Raw genomic sequence first — 19,054 nt, 5'->3', positions numbered from 1 at the left:
AAATTGGTCTGTGTAGAAAAAAATCCACACATCTGGTGTCAGAAATGATGTATTGAGAGTGTTATGAGAGTATAAAAAGAGATTTTCCTACTCAGAAACATAATCTGCTACTTTTGTGAGGAGAACTGCAAAGCTTCAAGGCAAAGAATGGAAAAAGTAAAGAATCGAGGCCAATAACATAGTTTACCATGGCATCTGTTAAGGGTATTGATGGTACTGTGGGATTTTTTTCTTTCCAATTAGTTTACGTATTGTAGATATGTCATATTGCTAGAATAAGACAGATGTGAGAATTTATTTTCTCCCTTAAAAATTTTTTTTCGTGGACATATGTACTGAGAAACATTTACATAAATAATAGTTGGGGCGAACGTAATATTAGTATTGAAATATCCATCTATTCTTTCTTTTTCTTGTTTTTTGAGACAGCGTCCTGCTCTGTCACCCTAGCTCAGGTAATCCTCCCACCTCAGCCTCCTGAGTAGCTGGGACTACAGGCACGTGCCACCACATCTGGCTAATTTTTAAATTATCTGTAGAGATAAGGTCTCCTCATATTGCACCGGCTGGTCTTAAACTCCTGGGCTCAAGCAATCTGCCTGCCTCAGCCTCTCCAAAATGTTGGGATATAGGCATGAGCATGCAGCCAATCCATTATTTGAATTGTTTCCAAGTTAACTGCAAACTCCTGTAGTGATCAATCATCCAAATTATTTTAAATAATCTATCTCTATATATTGATAGCAAAGAATTAGAAGTCACCTGGCTTTCAAAAGGATTTGCCTAACAGTCATTAGAGTATTCACCTTCTCAACACTGTAATATTTCTAGTGTCCCTTTATTTTGAATCTGAGAAATTTCTACATGGTGAGATCATCAATCATATAAAGATCCTAAATAGATAAGCAGAAAGCCTTTCTATGTAAAATGGGAGAAAAAAATGGTTATGAATGGGGCAGTGAAAAAGAATCGTCCTCGTGCTTTCAATCATAAGTGCTTCCTTAAGCATATAAATTTTAGAAAGCGTGCACCTGAAAAATTCTTGCCATAATTATCTGGGCATGAAACTCCACTGTTTATAAGCTTTAATTGCTATGTTCACATTATCCTAGAGATAGAATAAATATTGGGAATTTCATCAAGCACTTTCATCTATAATCAGGCAAACAAACACAAATAATGCTACATATGCAAAACAAAAACAAAAAAAGAAACACTTCTTGGGTTTTCGAGCAAGATCACAACTTATTAAGGTTTTTAGGTGATTACTCCTACCCAAAAAAATTTCTTCATTTGCAACAAAAGCCAAATGTTTAGACCTTTCCTCTTCCAAATATAATAGTGCAAACCACTATAGCAGCCCCCACTTATCTGCAGTTTTGCTTTCTGTGATTTCAATTCCCCAACTGCAGTTCAAAAATATTAAATGCAAAATTCCAAAAATAAATAATTCGTAAGTTTTAAATTATGCACCATTCTGAGTAAAGTGAAGAAATCTCATGCCGTCCTGCCTGGGAGGTAGATTATCCCTTTGTCCAGCAGATTCACACGATATGCACTATTCATCCATTAGTCACTCAATAGCCATCTTGGTTATCAGATTGATTGTCTTGCTATGGCAGTGCTGTGTTCAAGTAACCCTTATTTTAATTAATAAAGTGCAAGAGTAGTGATGCTGACAACTTGGATATACCAAAAGAAACCCAAACATATGTCAAAGAGAAGTTGTTAGTCTCTTACTGTTTCTAATTTATAAATTAAACTTTATCATAGATATGCTCACTTAGGAAAAACATAATATATATAGGGTTCGGTATCTGTGGTTTCAGGTATCCACTCGAGGGTCTTGGAACTTATCCCCATGGATAAGGGAGGACTACATTATTTAATTATCAATTCAAAATGCTTCAAAGAGAAATACAGTCAAAGAGAAACATGCTTGTAGTAACTTTAATAGTAAAAGAGACACAGTAGGACAAAGTGTGCCTTACAACAAAATCCCCTGATACTGAAAAGCACGTTTCACTTAATGATGACTTAATAGCAGGAAGAAGCACCAGAAACTGATGACAATCCCAGGTCACTGATATTATGAAAATACAGTTGACTCAAACAACACAGAGGTCACCGATCCCCGGACAGTTGAAAATCTGTGTATAGCTTTTGACTCCCCCAAAACTTACGTACTAATAGCTTAGTGTTGACTGGAAGCCTTACTGATAACATAAACAGTTGATTATCACATATTTTGTATGTTATATGTAGTATATGTTCTATTTTTACAATAAAGTAAGTTAGAGAAAATAAAATGCTATTAAGAAAATTATAAGGAAAACATATTTACTATTCATTAAGTGCAAATGGATTGTCATCTTCATCCTCATCATCTTCATGCTGAGTAGCCCGAGGAGGGATGGTCTTGCTGTCTTGGGAGTGGCAGAGGCAGAAGAAAACCTGTGTATACACGGACCTATATGTCCGGACATGGTAGCTCACACCTGTAATCCCAGCACTTTGGGAAGCCAAGGCTGGTGGATCACCTGAGATCAGGAGTTCAAGACCAGCCTGGCCAACATGGTGAAACCCTGTCTATACTAAAAATACAAAAAAAATTAACCAGGTGTGGTGACGGGAGCAGGTAGTCCCAGCTACTCAGGAGGCTGAGGCAGGAGAATCGCTTGAACCCGGGAGGCAGGGGTTGCAGTGAGCCGAGATCGCGCCACTGCACTCCAGCCTGGGCAACAAGAGCGGAACTCCATCTCAAAATAAATAAATAAATAAAATAAAAAAATAAACCCATAAAGTTCAAACCCATGTTGTTCACAGATATCAAGGGGCAGCTGTGCTCTATACAAGTGCTGGGTAAGCTCCTTCATTGTAACCTGCCATTTCGTAACTTTGAAAATTTTGAAAGTATAAATGAATATATTTAATTGATTTTGCATAAGACAGTAGGTCATCACAACCACATACACAAAATAAAGCTTTATATTTTTCTCTTCTAAGCTTCCAAGGTAAGCTAAGAGAAGCAGTCCCTTTTCTGCAGGAAAATGTGGCTTACCGTTATAGAGACTACTCATTGCAAAATTAATATACGAAAGAAAGAAATATTTTCTTCCGGATGATTTCTACAGAGGGACCAGAATCCCTTAAAGAGATGTTGAAAATGGAGGCAGGGCGCGGTGTCTCATGCCTGTAATCCCAGCACTTTGGGAGGCCGAGGCGGGCAGATCACCTGAGGTCGGGAGTTCGAGACCAGCCTGGCCAATATGGAGAAACCCCATCTCTACTAAAAATACAAAATTAGCCGGGTGTGGTGCCACACACCTGTAATCCCAGCTACTCGGGAGGCTGAGGGAGGAGAATTGCTTGAACCCAGAGGCAGAAGTTGCAGTGAGCTGAGATCATGCCATTGCACTCCAGCCTGGGCAACAAGAGTGAAACTCCGTTTCAAAAAAAAGAAAAAGAAAATGGAAAGCAGACATGTTAAGCAAGGTTGTCCATTTACAGGCTCAGGAAGAAGCTGAAAATGGCTGTGGGAAAGTAGCGACAGTGATTCATACAAATCTTGAACTTGGCTTTTTGGGAAAACGAATATATTCTGCTCTGTGTTTACAGCATCTAATCCCAATCACCTCTGCAAGAAAGCCTGTAATGAAAGCCGATTACCTCACAACATGCCACTAGAAAGAATGATCCATCTAATTTCCATTATTTACTGAGTTACAAGGGTTACCATGGTTCAGGAAGCCTCATTACAAGCGATGCTAAATATGCAGAGTGTGAATGTAGATTACATAAAGGCACCAGGGACATGGCTGTATAAAATCCAATGGTTCCTTGTTTTATAGCAACAAACGTTTGCTTCAATGGTGAATATAGCAAGAGAGAGAAAAAAGCTTCAAGAAAACATAATTAAGCTGCACTCTATATGAAATTTTATAAGCTACCCAAAACAATTAAGAAGTAGTTTATGACACTCAAACAAAAACAAAAAGGTATTTCAGAGAGCTTGCCATAGCAAAAGGACTGTAAATAAAACAAGTCTCACAAATTTTGTTCCTCATCTTTATAACTTGGTTAAATTATTTCATTATTTCCAAGACACAGACAGAAGGAATAACAACAATTGTAGTCTCAATAATTTTTGTTCCCTTTTGCTTTGCTTTGTTTTATTTTTTTTTTTAGGTACAATGTTTTTCTTGAATTAACTTTTTCATATTTTACATTTCAACTTTTTATTTTAATGCATATATATTTGTATATATATATATATATGCATGTATATGCAAACATGTATTTGTGTATTCATACACTAGTTTTATCAAACTCAGGAGACTTAACATTAATGTAATATTATACTACACACAGCTGATTTTCAGTTTTCACCAATTATCCCGATAACATCCTTTATGAAATTTTTTGTGTCAATCCAAGATCATGCTTTGCATTTACTTGTCAGGTCTCTTTAGTCTCTCTTGACCCGAAATGATTCCTCCATCTTTCTTTCTTTTTCTTTCATGACATTGACCCTTATGAAGATTACAGGCCAGTTGTTTTGTAAAATGTCCCTCGATGTGAATTTGTCTGATGTTTCCTTAACTGTATGTTCATTTTACGTATTTTAGGCAGGAATGGTATATCATTCGTGCATCACAACAGGAGGATCAGCTGTTTGTCCCATTATTAGCTATGTTAACTATGAATACTTGGTTAAGGTGGCATCTGCCATGTTTCTCTACTGGAAAATCACTGTTTCAATTTTTGTAATTGGTTTGTGAGCTGTAGAAAGAGACTTTGGGATAATACAATATACTGTTCTTATTCAGATTTTCATTCTATAGTTTTAGCAAACATTGATGATACTTGCTTGAAATAATTATTACTCTGTAGGTTGAAAAATCATTTTAATATCTTTTGAAAAAACTATATTAGTAGAAACTAAGAAAAGAGTTTTGGGTTGTGTCATTTCTCACTTTTATGCCTTTAGATATGTATTAAGAGATACTTGGGCAATTTGATCAAACATAAAATTTAATTGACTTTTTGAGAAATAGAGAAATATTTCTTTCCCATTCATGTATCTTTGAGTGAAAAGCCTTTCCTCTTGTAAGAGTACCTTAATGTGTGTCTAAGTATATGTGTGTGTGTGTGTGTGTGTGCAGCAGTTATTATTCAAATTTCTTCTATTCAGAGAAGGTTCTGGGGCATGATATAAACCATGTATCAGTGTGTTTTTCCTAATATAATTATTGTTCTTGACATGCAATTGTAGGATTTTTTTTTTCTTTTCTTAACGAAGGGATTGGTGGATGGGTGTCCAAGGCATCTTTTAATATCAGATGCTCTGGGGACCTTGATAATCTAGTACCAATGCAGAAACTTGAAAACTATTCCATAAACTGGAGCAATCGAGCCTGTAGGAACTAACTGTGCGCCTTCCTTAAAATGGATGCTTACTAGACCATGTTAAATGTGCAACTGACTGAGCCTCATTAAATATGTAATGGGCTGTTAGAAGATAAAGCTTTCTAGCAACATACTTGAGAGTCATTATGCATTTAATATATGAAAATCAAGATTGAAAAAAATCTAAAACTTGAAAAGATATATTTTACCTTCTCTGAGGTAATGGAAAAAAGATGGGCTCTTTCTTGTATGGTTCCTAAATTATATCTTGATCAGAAGAAAAAGGAAACCAAAATATAAAATGGGAACTTTAATGCAATAGAAGCTGACCAAGAAACATCATGTGGCCTTAGTGTCAGTTGTGTTTTCAACTCACTGATAACAACGAAATGAGTATGTCCTCATAAGGAGGCCTGTAGCATCAGAAGAGTGTTTGATACTGAGCACTCAGAACAAGCAGACTCTAACAGGTCAAAGAAGCAAGAGGCTTACTGAATACACACAGCATTTTGAACTACTGACAGGCAATCTTGGAAAAAATCCATGGCTTAATTCAGTTGTGAAAAAAACAACTGGCCGGGCGTGGTAATCCCAGCACTTTCGGGGGCCAAGGCGGGCGGATCACGAGGTCAAGAGATCAAGACCATCCTGGCTAACACGGTGAAACCCCGTCTCTACTAAAAATACAAAAAAAAAATTGCCGGGCATGGTGGCGGGCGCCTGTAGTCCCAGCTACTCGGGAGGCTGAGGCAGGGAAATGGCGTGAACCCAGGAGGCGGAGCTTGCTGTGAGCCGAGATCGCGCCACTGCACTCCAGCCTGGGCAACAGAGCGAGACTCCATCTCAAAAAAAAAGAAAGAAAAAAACTGAAATTGTTTTAGTAGAAGTGTTTATTATCTATTGCCCTGTGAATTTAATGAATTATTCATCAACATGGAAAGTGCTGGAAACTGCATATTTGACTAGTATAATGGAATTATCACTGAACTTGAAGTCAGAAGTCTTGGGTTTGAGTTTCAGCTTCTTTACTTAATTAGGAATATCCCTTAAGCAGTTAATTTAATCTTTCTGAGCCAACTCTGCCCATAAATAATGTGGTGGATGGACTGAAATGCTTCTGAAACATTAAAATACTAAATGAATTATGTTAAAAGTCCATGTAGAAGATATATAAAATGCTGTGCAACTTTATTTAACAATTTAAATTTCCTTAATGAGTAATTTATGGATATGAGAAAAGATCAAACTGATTACCCTAATATTTGAAATTCACTAGATATGCCAAAGTGTTTTAGGTTGGGCTTCAGTGTCAAATGATATCTATCTAGCAGCTCTTCTTATTCCTATCCATGAATTCACAGAATGAGATGAAGAGGCAAAACAAGAATTTAAGCTTTATAAAGGCAGGCTTATTTTATCTGTGTTCCCAGTGCCTAAAATAGCACCTAGTATGTAGGAAAAATTCCATAAACATTTGATGAAAGAATAAGTTAACTGACCAGGACTAAGAGTCATATTGTTGCCAGAATCTGAAAAGAATTACAACTGGCAGTTGGGTGGGGAGACAATTACTGACCCCTGCACAATATACACTCAAACAATGAAAATCTGCTGCCTTGAAAGAAAAAGAAAATGCTTTGTCTTTACCCCTCTATCTGCCACTGGCACAGAAATACAAGGCATTTATAATACCCAGCCAGAAATCAAGGCATATACCTCTCACCAGACAGAGTGCAGAAACCTATGTGTTGGTCTCCCTGCATCCTCAGTAAGTCTATCTCTTTCTATGTAAAATTAGTGACTACAATTCCTAGAAAAGAACTGGGCAAGAATTATAGAGGAGAAATGTTTGTAGAACTCTGGGAGATGTAGTCTCCTTAAATAAAATTATATGTATGTATGGAGTCAAGATGAGCCCAATACTACTCCATGTGGGAAATTACGGATTTTCCCGTAATTCTGATGTTTTAGCATCTCAGACAACCAAACAGTAGAGACAAAAGAAGATACCAACTCAAATCTAGGGTCAGTTTCACTGTAATCCAAATTTCACATTTGGGAGTGGTCACATAATTTACCATCAAGAATGCAGGGCCCATAGGCAGTCAGTGAGAGCTCTAATCAGGAACTGTTACTCTTTGCTAATTAGCATATTGGATCTCAGAAATGGGTTTTTATTGGTGGAAATAATGGCCTGTGGATTAGCATGTAGCATGATGAAACTCTCAATGATGAAATTTAAAATACCTGAAGTATGTAGTTTTGGGTTTTTTGGGTTGTTTGTTTGTTTGTTTTACAGAGACACTCACTCCTCCTAATATGCATGACAAAGTAGAAGAACGCTGAAAGGCCAGAAGTCTTGCCTTTAGGGATAATGCCTTGGACTAAATCTCTACCCCCTCCTACCTCCAGAAGTGAACTCTTGAGGGATCTAAGTAGTGCCCCATCAAGCCATACTGGAATCTGAGTTCAGCAAAGAAAAGAAGTGTGCCCCTATATATATTTACAAAAATATTCTCCCGTATTTTGAACTAAGTGAAAAAAGTTAATAACATCTCTACAATGAAAGAACATGGCTATATATAAATCTCCACATTATCCTCTGTGTTGCCCAAGGGGATTGCATGCCATTGTCAACCCCTATAAAGCCATCTGGCAGCCCCAGAACCATTGGTTACTTGGATATAACTTTTCTTGTTGCACAGTAACCCAGAGACATAAAACAAACAACAGCCTCCCATTATGTAACATTTTGATATTTTCTTTATGATTTTTGTTTTGTATTTTTTTTTCAATCCTGCCTTAAAATACACTCCTGGTGGGGTGCAGTGGCTCATGCCTGTAATCCCAGAACTTTGGGAGGCTGAGGCAGGTGGATCACTTGAGGCCAGGAGTTTGAGACCAGTCTTGGCAATATGGTGAAACCCTGTCTCTACCAAAAATACAAAAATTAGCCAGTCTCATAACCCGGTCTCTAAATAAATAAATTCTTTTTTAAAAAAGAATTATTTTTAGAAATATTACTACTCCTGATTACTGAGTTTTTGGCACTTACTTAAATTTTGCACCTGTGATATGTGCCTCACTACCCTGATTCTGAGCATCTGAGAGTCTACAAAGCTGAAATGTCTTGTCTCTAGAATTTTGCCATTTGGTTCTAGCAAATCTTTCATTCAGGTTAGTGCTCAAAGCACTTCATGGCTGGAGAACTGGAGCTATCTAGAAACTATAAAATGAGTTGTACAAAATATTTGTTTCAATTTTTGTTTTATATGTTCTCTTACTAATCAATATTTAGTTAATAAATGTCTGTATATGTGGTATAATTCAGCTGAAGTTTGCTTTCACTTTTACTTGAAACCCAAGAATTTTGGGATGGCTACCATTTCTACCAAAAAGAAAGAGTAAGTTGATTTAGGTCAACCACAACCACCAGGTAGACAATGACTGGAATGGGGAATAAGGTATATTTTATTTTATTTATTTTATTTAACTACATTTTGTAGCACTTAGTATGTGCCAGACATTGTTACGCTTTTAAACAATTAACTCTAATCATCACAACACCACTCTATGTGAAGTACTATTACTATTTCTACTTCACAAATGGAAAACACTCTTTTGTTTCTCTTGGTAAAATACAGAAATAGGCGTACATCATTTGAAGCTGGCTGACAGAAAAGGTCCGCCATGAATATTATAGAAAACTAACAACAAAAGGAAAGAAAACACTGCCTTAAGACTCACAGGGGTACTATATTTCTAAAATAATTCATCATGAGAACCAAAACTAAATTAAAGAAACTTATTAAAATCCTCAATTGAATGCAGAAAACTGCAAATCAAAACTACAAAACACCACAACTACAAAGAACTGAGCAAAATGTGCCAGCTCAATCAACATAATTTCTCTACTATATATTCTTTTTATTTGTCTACATATGTATTTATCTTCCCTTTTGTTTCATATTTTAATTATCTTTGTACTCCCTACCTAGCTCAGGCCCTGCACATAACAGGCTCCAAGAAAATGCTTGATGAATAAATGTATGAGCCCACTCCTCCTTTTTACAAAAACAGTTGTTGAACATATGAGTAACTTAAATAAACACATTTGTAGCCTCTGAACAAAGGAACCACCAATTTAATTATCTGTGGCTTACAGACACCCATTGAAGAATATAAATAGGAATCTTAAATGTGCACTTATTGAAGTAATCTTGTTTTGCTTCCAAAGCACAAAGATTTCAAATGAAAGATTTTGGTTCTTTCTGGTGAAACAAACATATTGATTAAAATATAAATAATTAGTAAATGGTATTTGGAATTTTTAAAGTCATTTTTTATATTCAAAGGATTTAATATTTATATATTCTAAGATAATTACTACCAACCCTTCCCAAACAAAAGATTATAAAAAACTACATAAATTTCAGCTAAAGATTCTAGCTAGATTTGAAGGGAAATTGTGATTAATGAATTTTCAGGTGAATAGAAACTAACTCCTATTGTTGCTATGGTTCTTTGACACCACTTGGCAGCGATTTAAGGGCTTAACAGGAAAGAAGACAAATGAACACTATAGCAAAATGCTCCACATAACACTAGTCATTGTTCCAAGCACAATTCCATTTGCAGTCTGAGTGATCTGAGAATAAATGCTTTGAAGCACATCCATAAAAAGGGATTTTGTAAGTATCAGACAGGTACCTCAACACTGATCAGCGAAATAATAAAATCTGCCAATGAAAGTAATTAGAAAATAGATTTTTCTTCTATGTTATGATAATCATTTCCATGTTTATATAATTACATGGTTTTAGACAAAGTAGTTATTTTAGTAACTTTTCATCATTCTTCCCAAATATTTAAAACTCAAGTGGACATCTTTGTAATACAGTTGACAGTATTTCCAGCATTTTTGTTTTGTGCCTTGACAATCACAGCCCCTATTAATTAGTGCTCTGGGAATGAAGTCCATTACACTGAAGGTGACCCTGTAAGAAGACATTAATTATTAAATCATTTTTATTATGTGTGGTGTGGTTCAAAGACAATCAGTGTTATTTCGAAGCTGTACACAAGCAGACACACAGACACACAGACACACACATGCACAGATGTTGCACTAGAGCAAGCTCTACCTGAGCAGGAATCTTTGTCTATTATGCTCAGTGCTGTAACACTAACACCTCCTTTGAGCATCTAACAATATTAAAAATAGTCTTAATATTTCTAACTTCTCATAATGCTAACTATGTCCAGAAACTGGAATGTGCACTATATATTTTTATTTAACCACCACTGCAAAGTTGTAAATTAGGTGATATTATAATCCTCATTTATTTGATGAGACAGATTGAATTACAGATAGGTAAATAACTTGGCTGCAATTGAAAAAATTGGAGGAGCTGGGATCAGTCTCATATGCCTCTAACTAGAAGTTCTGGCCATGATAGCTTTATTATATCACCTCCAAATGACCTCCTAGTCACTAAGTCTTCATCACTATCAGAACATGAGATAATATTTTGTATTTTCTTTTCTAATAACTCACTACCCCATCTTTCTCGTTACAGTTCACTTTCCCCAACCCTCCAATGCCAGAATCCATCCTCTCTGTGTGAACTGGAACGAGGTGCACTCAGTCACGTAGGATGGTGACTAATCAACTCATTACACTTTAGAGTAAATGATTTTCAATAAATTGCCTCATCCAAACATTTCTATCTTAAACCATTCATCTCTGCTGCTCAAAGTTTAATCTGTTTCTAAAGGAACTTAGACATCTGCAAGTAGTTGAGGAAAACATTTCTGAAAATAAGAATAATGTCATTCATCCAACACATTTTATTATAAAGTTTACCGTTACAGAATGAAATTTGCCCCCTTGAAAATTCATATGCTGAGGCCCTGACCCACAATGTGACTCCATTTACAGATAGGGTCTTTAAAGAAGTAATTAAGGTTAAATGAGGCTATAACAGCGGGCCCCTAATTTGATAGGGCTGGTGTCCTTATAAGAAGAGAAAAAGACAAGAGCTCACTCACTTCTGGGCTTACGTGCTCTCTCTCTGAGAACACACAGAGGAAAGGCTATGTGGGGACACCAAGAGAAGACAGCTGTCTGCAATCCAAGAGGAGAGGCCCCACCAGAAACTGACCCTGCTGGCACCTAGATCTTGGCATGTCCAGAACTGTGAGAAATTTGTCTTGTTTAAACCACCCAGTCCATGGCATTTTATTGTGGTGCCAGGCAGACTAATACACTTCCTTACCTATTTGTCAAGCACTGTGTTAGACAGTAGGGATACAAAATCGAGTAAAGCAGAGCCCTTATTTGCTCAGAATTAATGGCGGTGAGGAAGATAGAGAAGAGGAGGTGTGATCAGTGGCACTACTGATTGTAAGTAAAGTGCTACGATGGCCTCGAGAAGAAAAGATTAATTCTACCTAAAAACGTTAGATAAGTCTTAACAATAGAGGTAAATTTTATGTTGGGTCTTCTAGAAAAAAATAGTAGTTTGGGAGAGGAAGAAATAAGGTAGTTTAGACTGGGAAAAGGAATAATATGAGAAAAGGTAAAGATATGGGTATTGCATTTGTGTTTAGAAACTGACAATCTGTTTCAATTAATTAGAATATGGGTGGTGATGGGAGATGAAGGAATCTGCATTGAAAAAGAAAAAAAAAGCTACAGAAACCAATAGAGCCATATCATTCCCTGGTCTTGTATGAAAAGGAGTCCTCCAGGCCTACAAGGCAATGGTCAGGGGATATTCACAGCCATCTTCCTGAATCATTCGTTCTTAAAAGTTTGGGGACACCAAACTTTCAAAAGGAAATGCATTATATATAGAACAGCATGCAAAGGATCTGGAGTTTTACAATAAAAGATAAAAAGTTTATACTGATTTAAATTTTTTAAATTAAAGAACTAATACATATTATAGAAAGAAATTCATTCTATTAATGAGTAAGGATGCTGAATCATGCTGACTTTTAATAAGGATAATTTTGTATAATAGAAACTTTAGGTATATCTTAGAAAATCGAAGTCATAGAATAGATATGATCCTTATCTTTTCATTATTTTGTCCAGTGTTCCATGGAGTGATTACCCACATTATGCTAATTGATATAATTGCTCCAAGGAGAACTAATCGAAGTAGGGGACTCTAAATGAGAGGGGAACCCATTTTCCACCAAAAAAATTAGATAGCTCATCAATAATTTAATTAAAACTATTTCTAGCAAGGTGTGGTGGTATGCACCTGTAGTCCCAGCTACTCAGCAGGCTGAGGTGGGAGGATCACTTGAGTCCAGGAGTTCAAGAGAACCCCATCTCTTTCTCGCTATATATAAAATTTAATAACATATAATTATATATTATTAGTATAATATAAAATAATACATGCATTAATACATATAAACCCCCTTATATATTATATTTTATATATATAAAACTCCCCCATATATAAATATATTTTATATATAGAAAAATATATAAATACATTTGTATATGCAGAGATATATCAATATATAATATACATTATATATATGTAGAGAGAGAGAAAGAGAGGTTCCATATATAAATATATACACACACATATATATAGAGAGAAAAAGGGGAGTTATATCTATAAAATATATATGTTTATATATATAAAACCTTTCACTATATATAATTTATATATATAAAACTTCTCTCTACATATACACATATATTTATACAGAGAGAGCCTCTATATAATATATAAATATGTATATATAAATATAATATATAAATATTTATATAAAATTATATTATATATATATTTTTATATATAAATATATATTATATTAATATATAAATATTATATATAAATATATAAAGATATAAATATATAAATATTTAGATATAAATATAAAAATATATATAATATATAAATATGTATATATCAATATAATATATAGATATATAAATATGTATATATCAATATAATATATAAATATATATCAATATAATATATAAATATATATAAACATCTATAGAGAGAGGCTCTATATAAATATATAATAATTATATCATATAATATATGATATCTATTTATATAATATGTAATATAAGATATATTTATATAATATATAATATATGATATCTATTTATATAATATGTAATATAAGATATATTTATATAATATATAATATATGATATCTATTTATATATAATATATGATATCTATTTGTATAATATATGATATATTTATATAACATGCATATTTTATATAAATATATAATATATTCTATTTACATTTATAATAAATATATAATACATATGTATAATTTCAGGTCCTTTGCATATCTAGCTATCTCTCTCTCTCTCTATATATATATATATACACACACCCACACACACAGAGAGAGGTTTCATTCATATATATAAAACGCTTGTACACTGTTGATGGGAATGTAAATTAGTACAGCCACTATGGAGAACGGTATTGAGGTTTCTAAAAAAAAAAAAAAAACCTACAAATAGAACTACCATATGATCCAGCAATCCCACTGCTAGGTATTTACCCAAAAGAAAGCAAATTGATGCATCAAAGAGATATCTGTACTCCCATGTTTATTACAGCACTATTCACGGTAGCCAAGATAAGAAATCAAACTGTTTCTCAGTGGATGAATGGATAAAGAAAACGTGGTACATATAAACAATGGAATATTATTCAAACATAAAAATATGAAACCTTGTGATTCGCAACAACATAGATGAAAGTGGAGGACATTATGTTAAGTGAAACAAGTCAGGCAGAGAAAGACAAATACAGCATGTTCCCACTCATATGTGAGAGCTAAAAAAATTGGAATTCGTGGAGGTGGGGAGTAGAATGATGGTTACCAGAGGCTGGGAAGTGTAGTTGGTGGGGTGGGACAGAATGAAGAGGGTACAAAATTTTGTACCCATTTTGTTTATGGGTACAAAAATACAGTTGGATAGAAGAAATGAGATCTAGTGTTTGGTAGCAAAATAGGGCAACTATAGTTGATAATAGTTTGTTGTGTATTTCCGAATAACTAAAAGAGTAGAAGTGGAATGTTCCTAACACAAAGAAATAATACCTGCTTAAGGTGATGGGTATCCCAGTTACCCTGATCTGATCATTACACATTGTCTGCTTGCATTACACTATCACATGTACTCTATAACTGTTATGTATCCATAATAATTAAAATTAAAACAAATTTTAAAAACACAAACATCTTATCTGTCCTTTCCTTTATCTCCTCAGCATTTGTCTAGCGTGGTTTAGGCAGTACCAGAAGGGATGGGGCAGACGGTACACTTCTATAAAGTAAGTCATGTTTATCTGTAACAATTTTTTTTTTCTGCTTTTTTGAGAGGGAGTCTCTCTCTTGTCACCCAGGCTGGAGTGGAGTGGCAAAATCTCGGCTCACTGCAGCCTCCTCCTCCCGGGTTCAAGCAATTCTCCTGCCTCAGCCTCCTGAGTAGCTGTTATTACAGATGCCCGCCACCATGCCCAGCTAATTCTTGTATTTTTAGTAGAGACAGGATTTCACCACGTAGGCCAGGCTAGTCTCAAACTCCTGACCTCAGGTGATCCACCCACCTCGGCCTCCCAAAGTGCTGGGATTACAGGTGTGAGCCATCGTGCTCGGCACAAATTTTAAATATTGTAGAAACAATCATAGTAGACTGAGGCTGGGTTGGTTAGGCTTCTTTTATAAGATAGTGATTTATTTTTTAAAAGAAACTTTTAAAAGAAAGCCTCCCACTTAGAGATAATTAGAATAGCAAAGCATTTAAAGAACTAGAAAGATTCTTGGGTAGTCTGGGTTAGCTGTAACACACAATAAGACCCTCAGTCTTTCACTCTGCCCTTCACACTCTCCCCAGGAATCCTTCTAGTAATCTTAACTCCCTCATGATACCACTATCTACCAGTTGCTCCAGCAAAAAATCCAACAGTCAAACTTTATTTCTCTCTGTATTTCATTTTGTACATCTATGTCAGCAACAGATCCCACTGCTTCTAATTCCAAAATATATCATAAACCGAACTATCTGTCTCCACTGCCACCTCCTCAGCCCAACTACAATCTGCTCTCAGCTAGATTTCATTAAACTCTCCAATGTCTCCAAGCTTTCCCAACAAATCGTTCTCCCTACAAGAGTGAAATTAATCATTTTTAAAGGATGGACCTCTGTTTACCCTTAAAACAAATGATTATATAATACTGAATACACATATTTAAGAAAAATAGAGCAGACATCTATATAGCTACTACACATTTAAATCTCCTTATGTGTCTCTTCCCAATTAACTATGCTGTTCATCATCTTCCAACTAACCTGTACTTGATATTTATTTTACTAACATACTTCTTTTGGTTGTCTAAATCTATCTCTAAGCAATATATATTATTTTTGCATTTTTAAAGTTTGGTGTAAATGATATTTTATTGTATTTATTCTTTGGCAATTTGTTTTTATCTCATTATTATGCTTGTGACATTTATTCTCGTTCATTTTTGCTTCTGTATAATATTCCACGTTCTGAATAAACAATACTTCACTGATCCATTTTCCTGTTGATGTAGGTTTATATGTTTTGTTGTTGTTATTATTGTTATTACAAACAGTGCTAACCCAGGTATTTTATACATGATTATTACTGCATATTTTTGAAAGCTTACACTTTAGTATATCCCTAGCATGAAATTGCTAAGCAATAGCAAGTTTAATCCTCAACTCAACATTGTAGAACTGACCTAATGTAGCTATTTGCACTTATTTGGTTATTTTGAAATTTATAGGTAGCTCCAATAGCAAGAGGAAAGTGAAGGTTATTCCCTTCTTCCCTTATAATTTTGTTATCTGATGAGTTTAACAATGAAAGCAAGTCTCATAGATTTTATTCAGCAGGCAGGTCCAGAAATAGTCAAATTACCTATACTATTAGCCTAATGAAGTTCCAGCTTTCTCCTTTTGGCATAAAGCTCATTGCCTAAAAGTGTCACTCCAGACAGATGTGACAAGGATTCAGCTCATCTTCCAAGAATACAGAGAAACCGAATGCTCTGTTAGAGGTCTGTACACAAGTTCAAGTTGTGTCCTAGGCTAGGCACCACCAGAAGAGCAGCTGAGTTTATTAAGCAGATGCCTCTACTGCATATTAAGAAGTGGGGGTGCCTGCTCAATTTAACCAATCCGTTCATACTATGGGAGAGTATAGCCATTATGAATGGAAAAAATTTATTCAAATAGATATTTCTCTCTGTGTGACAGAGTGTATAAATAAGGTATAGTTTGCCCTTAAATCTTCCTACTCACCTAAAACAGTGCCTCATTTAAAGACTCTTTCCTATTCTCTTCACTTTTACTCCCCCAACTCCCCCCACTTTTTTTTTTTTTGAGAGGGAGTCTCCCTCTGTTGCCCAGGCTGGAGTGCAGTGGCAGGATCTTGGCTCACTGCAAACTCCGCCTCCTGGGTTCATGCCATTCTCCTGCCTCAGCCTCCCAAGTAGCTGGGACTACAGGCACCCGCCACCACGCCCAGGTGATTTTTTGTGTTTTTAGTAGAGATGAGGGTTCACCGTGTTAGCCAGGATGGTCTCGATCTCATGACCTCGTGATCTGCCCGCCTCAGCCTCCCAAAGTGCTGGGCTTACAAGTGTGAGCCACCGCTCCCGGCCCCCTTTTTTCCTACCAATATATGGTTAATGTTCATTCAAAACCATCTTCAAAGTAGCAGTGTCTATATCTAAACAGGATACAGTTTATGAATTTGCCAAAGCACCACCAATAAACAGAGGCAAATTAAGATAAGTTTTACTGTGGACATAATAAAATTCATAATTTATTTGAACATAATCTGAAATAAACCACAATAAATAATTGTAACATGCTCTGGTTTTACAATGGAAACATCAATTTAACTGTTGATAATGTCCCTAAATGTCACTCAGATTTTAAAATCATTTATATTTCAAGAGGAAAGTAAACTGAATACAAAAATGTGTAATTAAAAATGTAAAAACTCTAGAATAAAGTAGGATAGACCCTAAATATTCACTGCCCCAAACCCCCAACAGATGCAGAAATTTTCTCCACAATAACGCTGCAACCATTTCCAGTGCTCGGACTCATTTTCCAAGTCAGCTAAAACCATATCTGCTTTTCACTGTTTCTAAATTTTCCTACATGTTGCAAATTTGTTTTCTTAGAACCTCTGTCCGTAAGTATAAGAATAGATGAAGATTGTATATTTCTAACTAACTAAAATAGTATAATTGGATTGTTTGTAACACAAAGGATAAATGCTTGAGAGTATAGATACCCCATTTTTCATGTGATTATTACGCATTGCATGCCTGTATCAAAATATCTCATGTACCCCATAAATATATACACCTACTATGTACTCAGGAAAATTAAAAATTAAAAAAGTATGAATACACAATCTAGTCATCTGAAAATACCAACTTTAAATATTATTGCAGGCATGAAGTTTTCTAAATGATGTGACTACTTTATAACAAAATTTGCTTTGTTTCAGCATTCTCACTTTTAAAACATACTAATTTGTTTGTTGAAAACTAAAAAGTAAAAATTTTAAAAGAAAGTTTACCTAATGAATCATGATTGTTTCCTAGATATGATATCTTTGTTTTGTAATACTTATTTTATTAGCTCTCTGGAAATCAGGATAATTTGGTTTCATTATTATGCAATGTTACATCAAAAAGTCATTTTAATACATGAAGTCAAGCCAGTCACAAGGATGATGAGTTCCATTCTCCTCAATCTAAGGTTGCTCATTTTATGTCTTGACAAAGACTCTCTCTTTTGACCAAAACTTTAGTCAGGCTCCTCCAATTCCTCTGCTTGACTAGGCCAACATTGGGCTTCCTTTGTTCTTGCAGGATCCAGTTTGAGCAAGAATCCTGTTAAGTTGGCTTAGGGAGAATGCCCCACCCTTGGTATCTGACCGCCCTTGATATCCTATCACACTGGCCTGCCTTCGGCAATAATCCTATCAAGTTGGTATAGCCAGAAACGTCTTACCTTTGATGTTTTTCCTCCTGGTAATAGCCAGAAACCTCTTACCTTTGATGTTTTTCCTCCTGGTAATTTTCCATTCACTGATCCCCACTCTGCTCCTTGGTTATAAATCCCCACTCAGCCTTGTTGAAGTCAGAACTGAGTCCACTCTCTCTCCCTCACTGCAGGATTCCATTGCAGTGGTCCCTATACCTACCACTATGGCCTACCTTGGATAACATCTGCCTTAACATCTTTAACAAGTGTCATGATGAGCTTTTTTTCTTTAACAGTCTTCTCCACTATGCCAGTGTTGGGATATACAATCTTCTCTTCCTTTAAATCCCCCAGTCCCTCCCACTCTCCCTTCCATTTCTACTTTAATTCTCCTACTTAACCTGAAAGCAGAAAACAGCTTGAGCCATTGGAGTCCTAAAAACAATCCCATTAAATAAAAGGCTCATTTTTATCCTATCCTGGAATACTGTGACAAAGAAAATGCCACCACTGTAATCTAGGACGTTTCTTTGAAAAATATTCACAGCTTTCAATTCATTTCAACAATTATTTACTAGGTGCCAGGCACTGGACTAG

At 35.3% G+C, this 19,054-nt stretch overlaps 3 annotated features.

Moving 5' to 3' along the window:
• Positions 7,184-7,727: an enhancer, noted in NCBI's record as "OCT4-NANOG-H3K27ac hESC enhancer chr6:123142471-123143014 (GRCh37/hg19 assembly coordinates)". NCBI's record gives its function as "activates a minimal SCP1, AML or CMV promoter by ChIP-STARR-seq in primed H9 embryonic stem cells {active_cell/tissue: H9 hESC(primed)}" and the evidence as "EXISTENCE:reporter gene assay evidence [ECO:0000049][PMID:30033119]".
• Positions 7,728-8,271: an enhancer, noted in NCBI's record as "OCT4-NANOG-H3K27ac hESC enhancer chr6:123141927-123142470 (GRCh37/hg19 assembly coordinates)". NCBI's record gives its function as "activates a minimal SCP1, AML or CMV promoter by ChIP-STARR-seq in primed H9 embryonic stem cells {active_cell/tissue: H9 hESC(primed)}" and the evidence as "EXISTENCE:reporter gene assay evidence [ECO:0000049][PMID:30033119]".
• Positions 11,422-11,622: a silencer, noted in NCBI's record as "peak6080 fragment used in MPRA reporter construct". NCBI's record gives its function as "represses an SCP1 promoter by STARR-seq MPRAs in K562 erythroleukemia cells {active_cell/tissue: K562}" and the evidence as "EXISTENCE:reporter gene assay evidence [ECO:0000049][PMID:32103011]".

The sequence above is a fragment of the Homo sapiens genome, chromosome 6, assembly GCF_000001405.40.
Source record: "Homo sapiens chromosome 6, GRCh38.p14 Primary Assembly".
Taxonomy (NCBI): domain Eukaryota; kingdom Metazoa; phylum Chordata; class Mammalia; order Primates; family Hominidae; genus Homo; species Homo sapiens.
The sequence above is the reverse complement of the archived record's forward strand: the minus strand, read 5'-3'. Positions and strand labels throughout refer to the sequence as shown.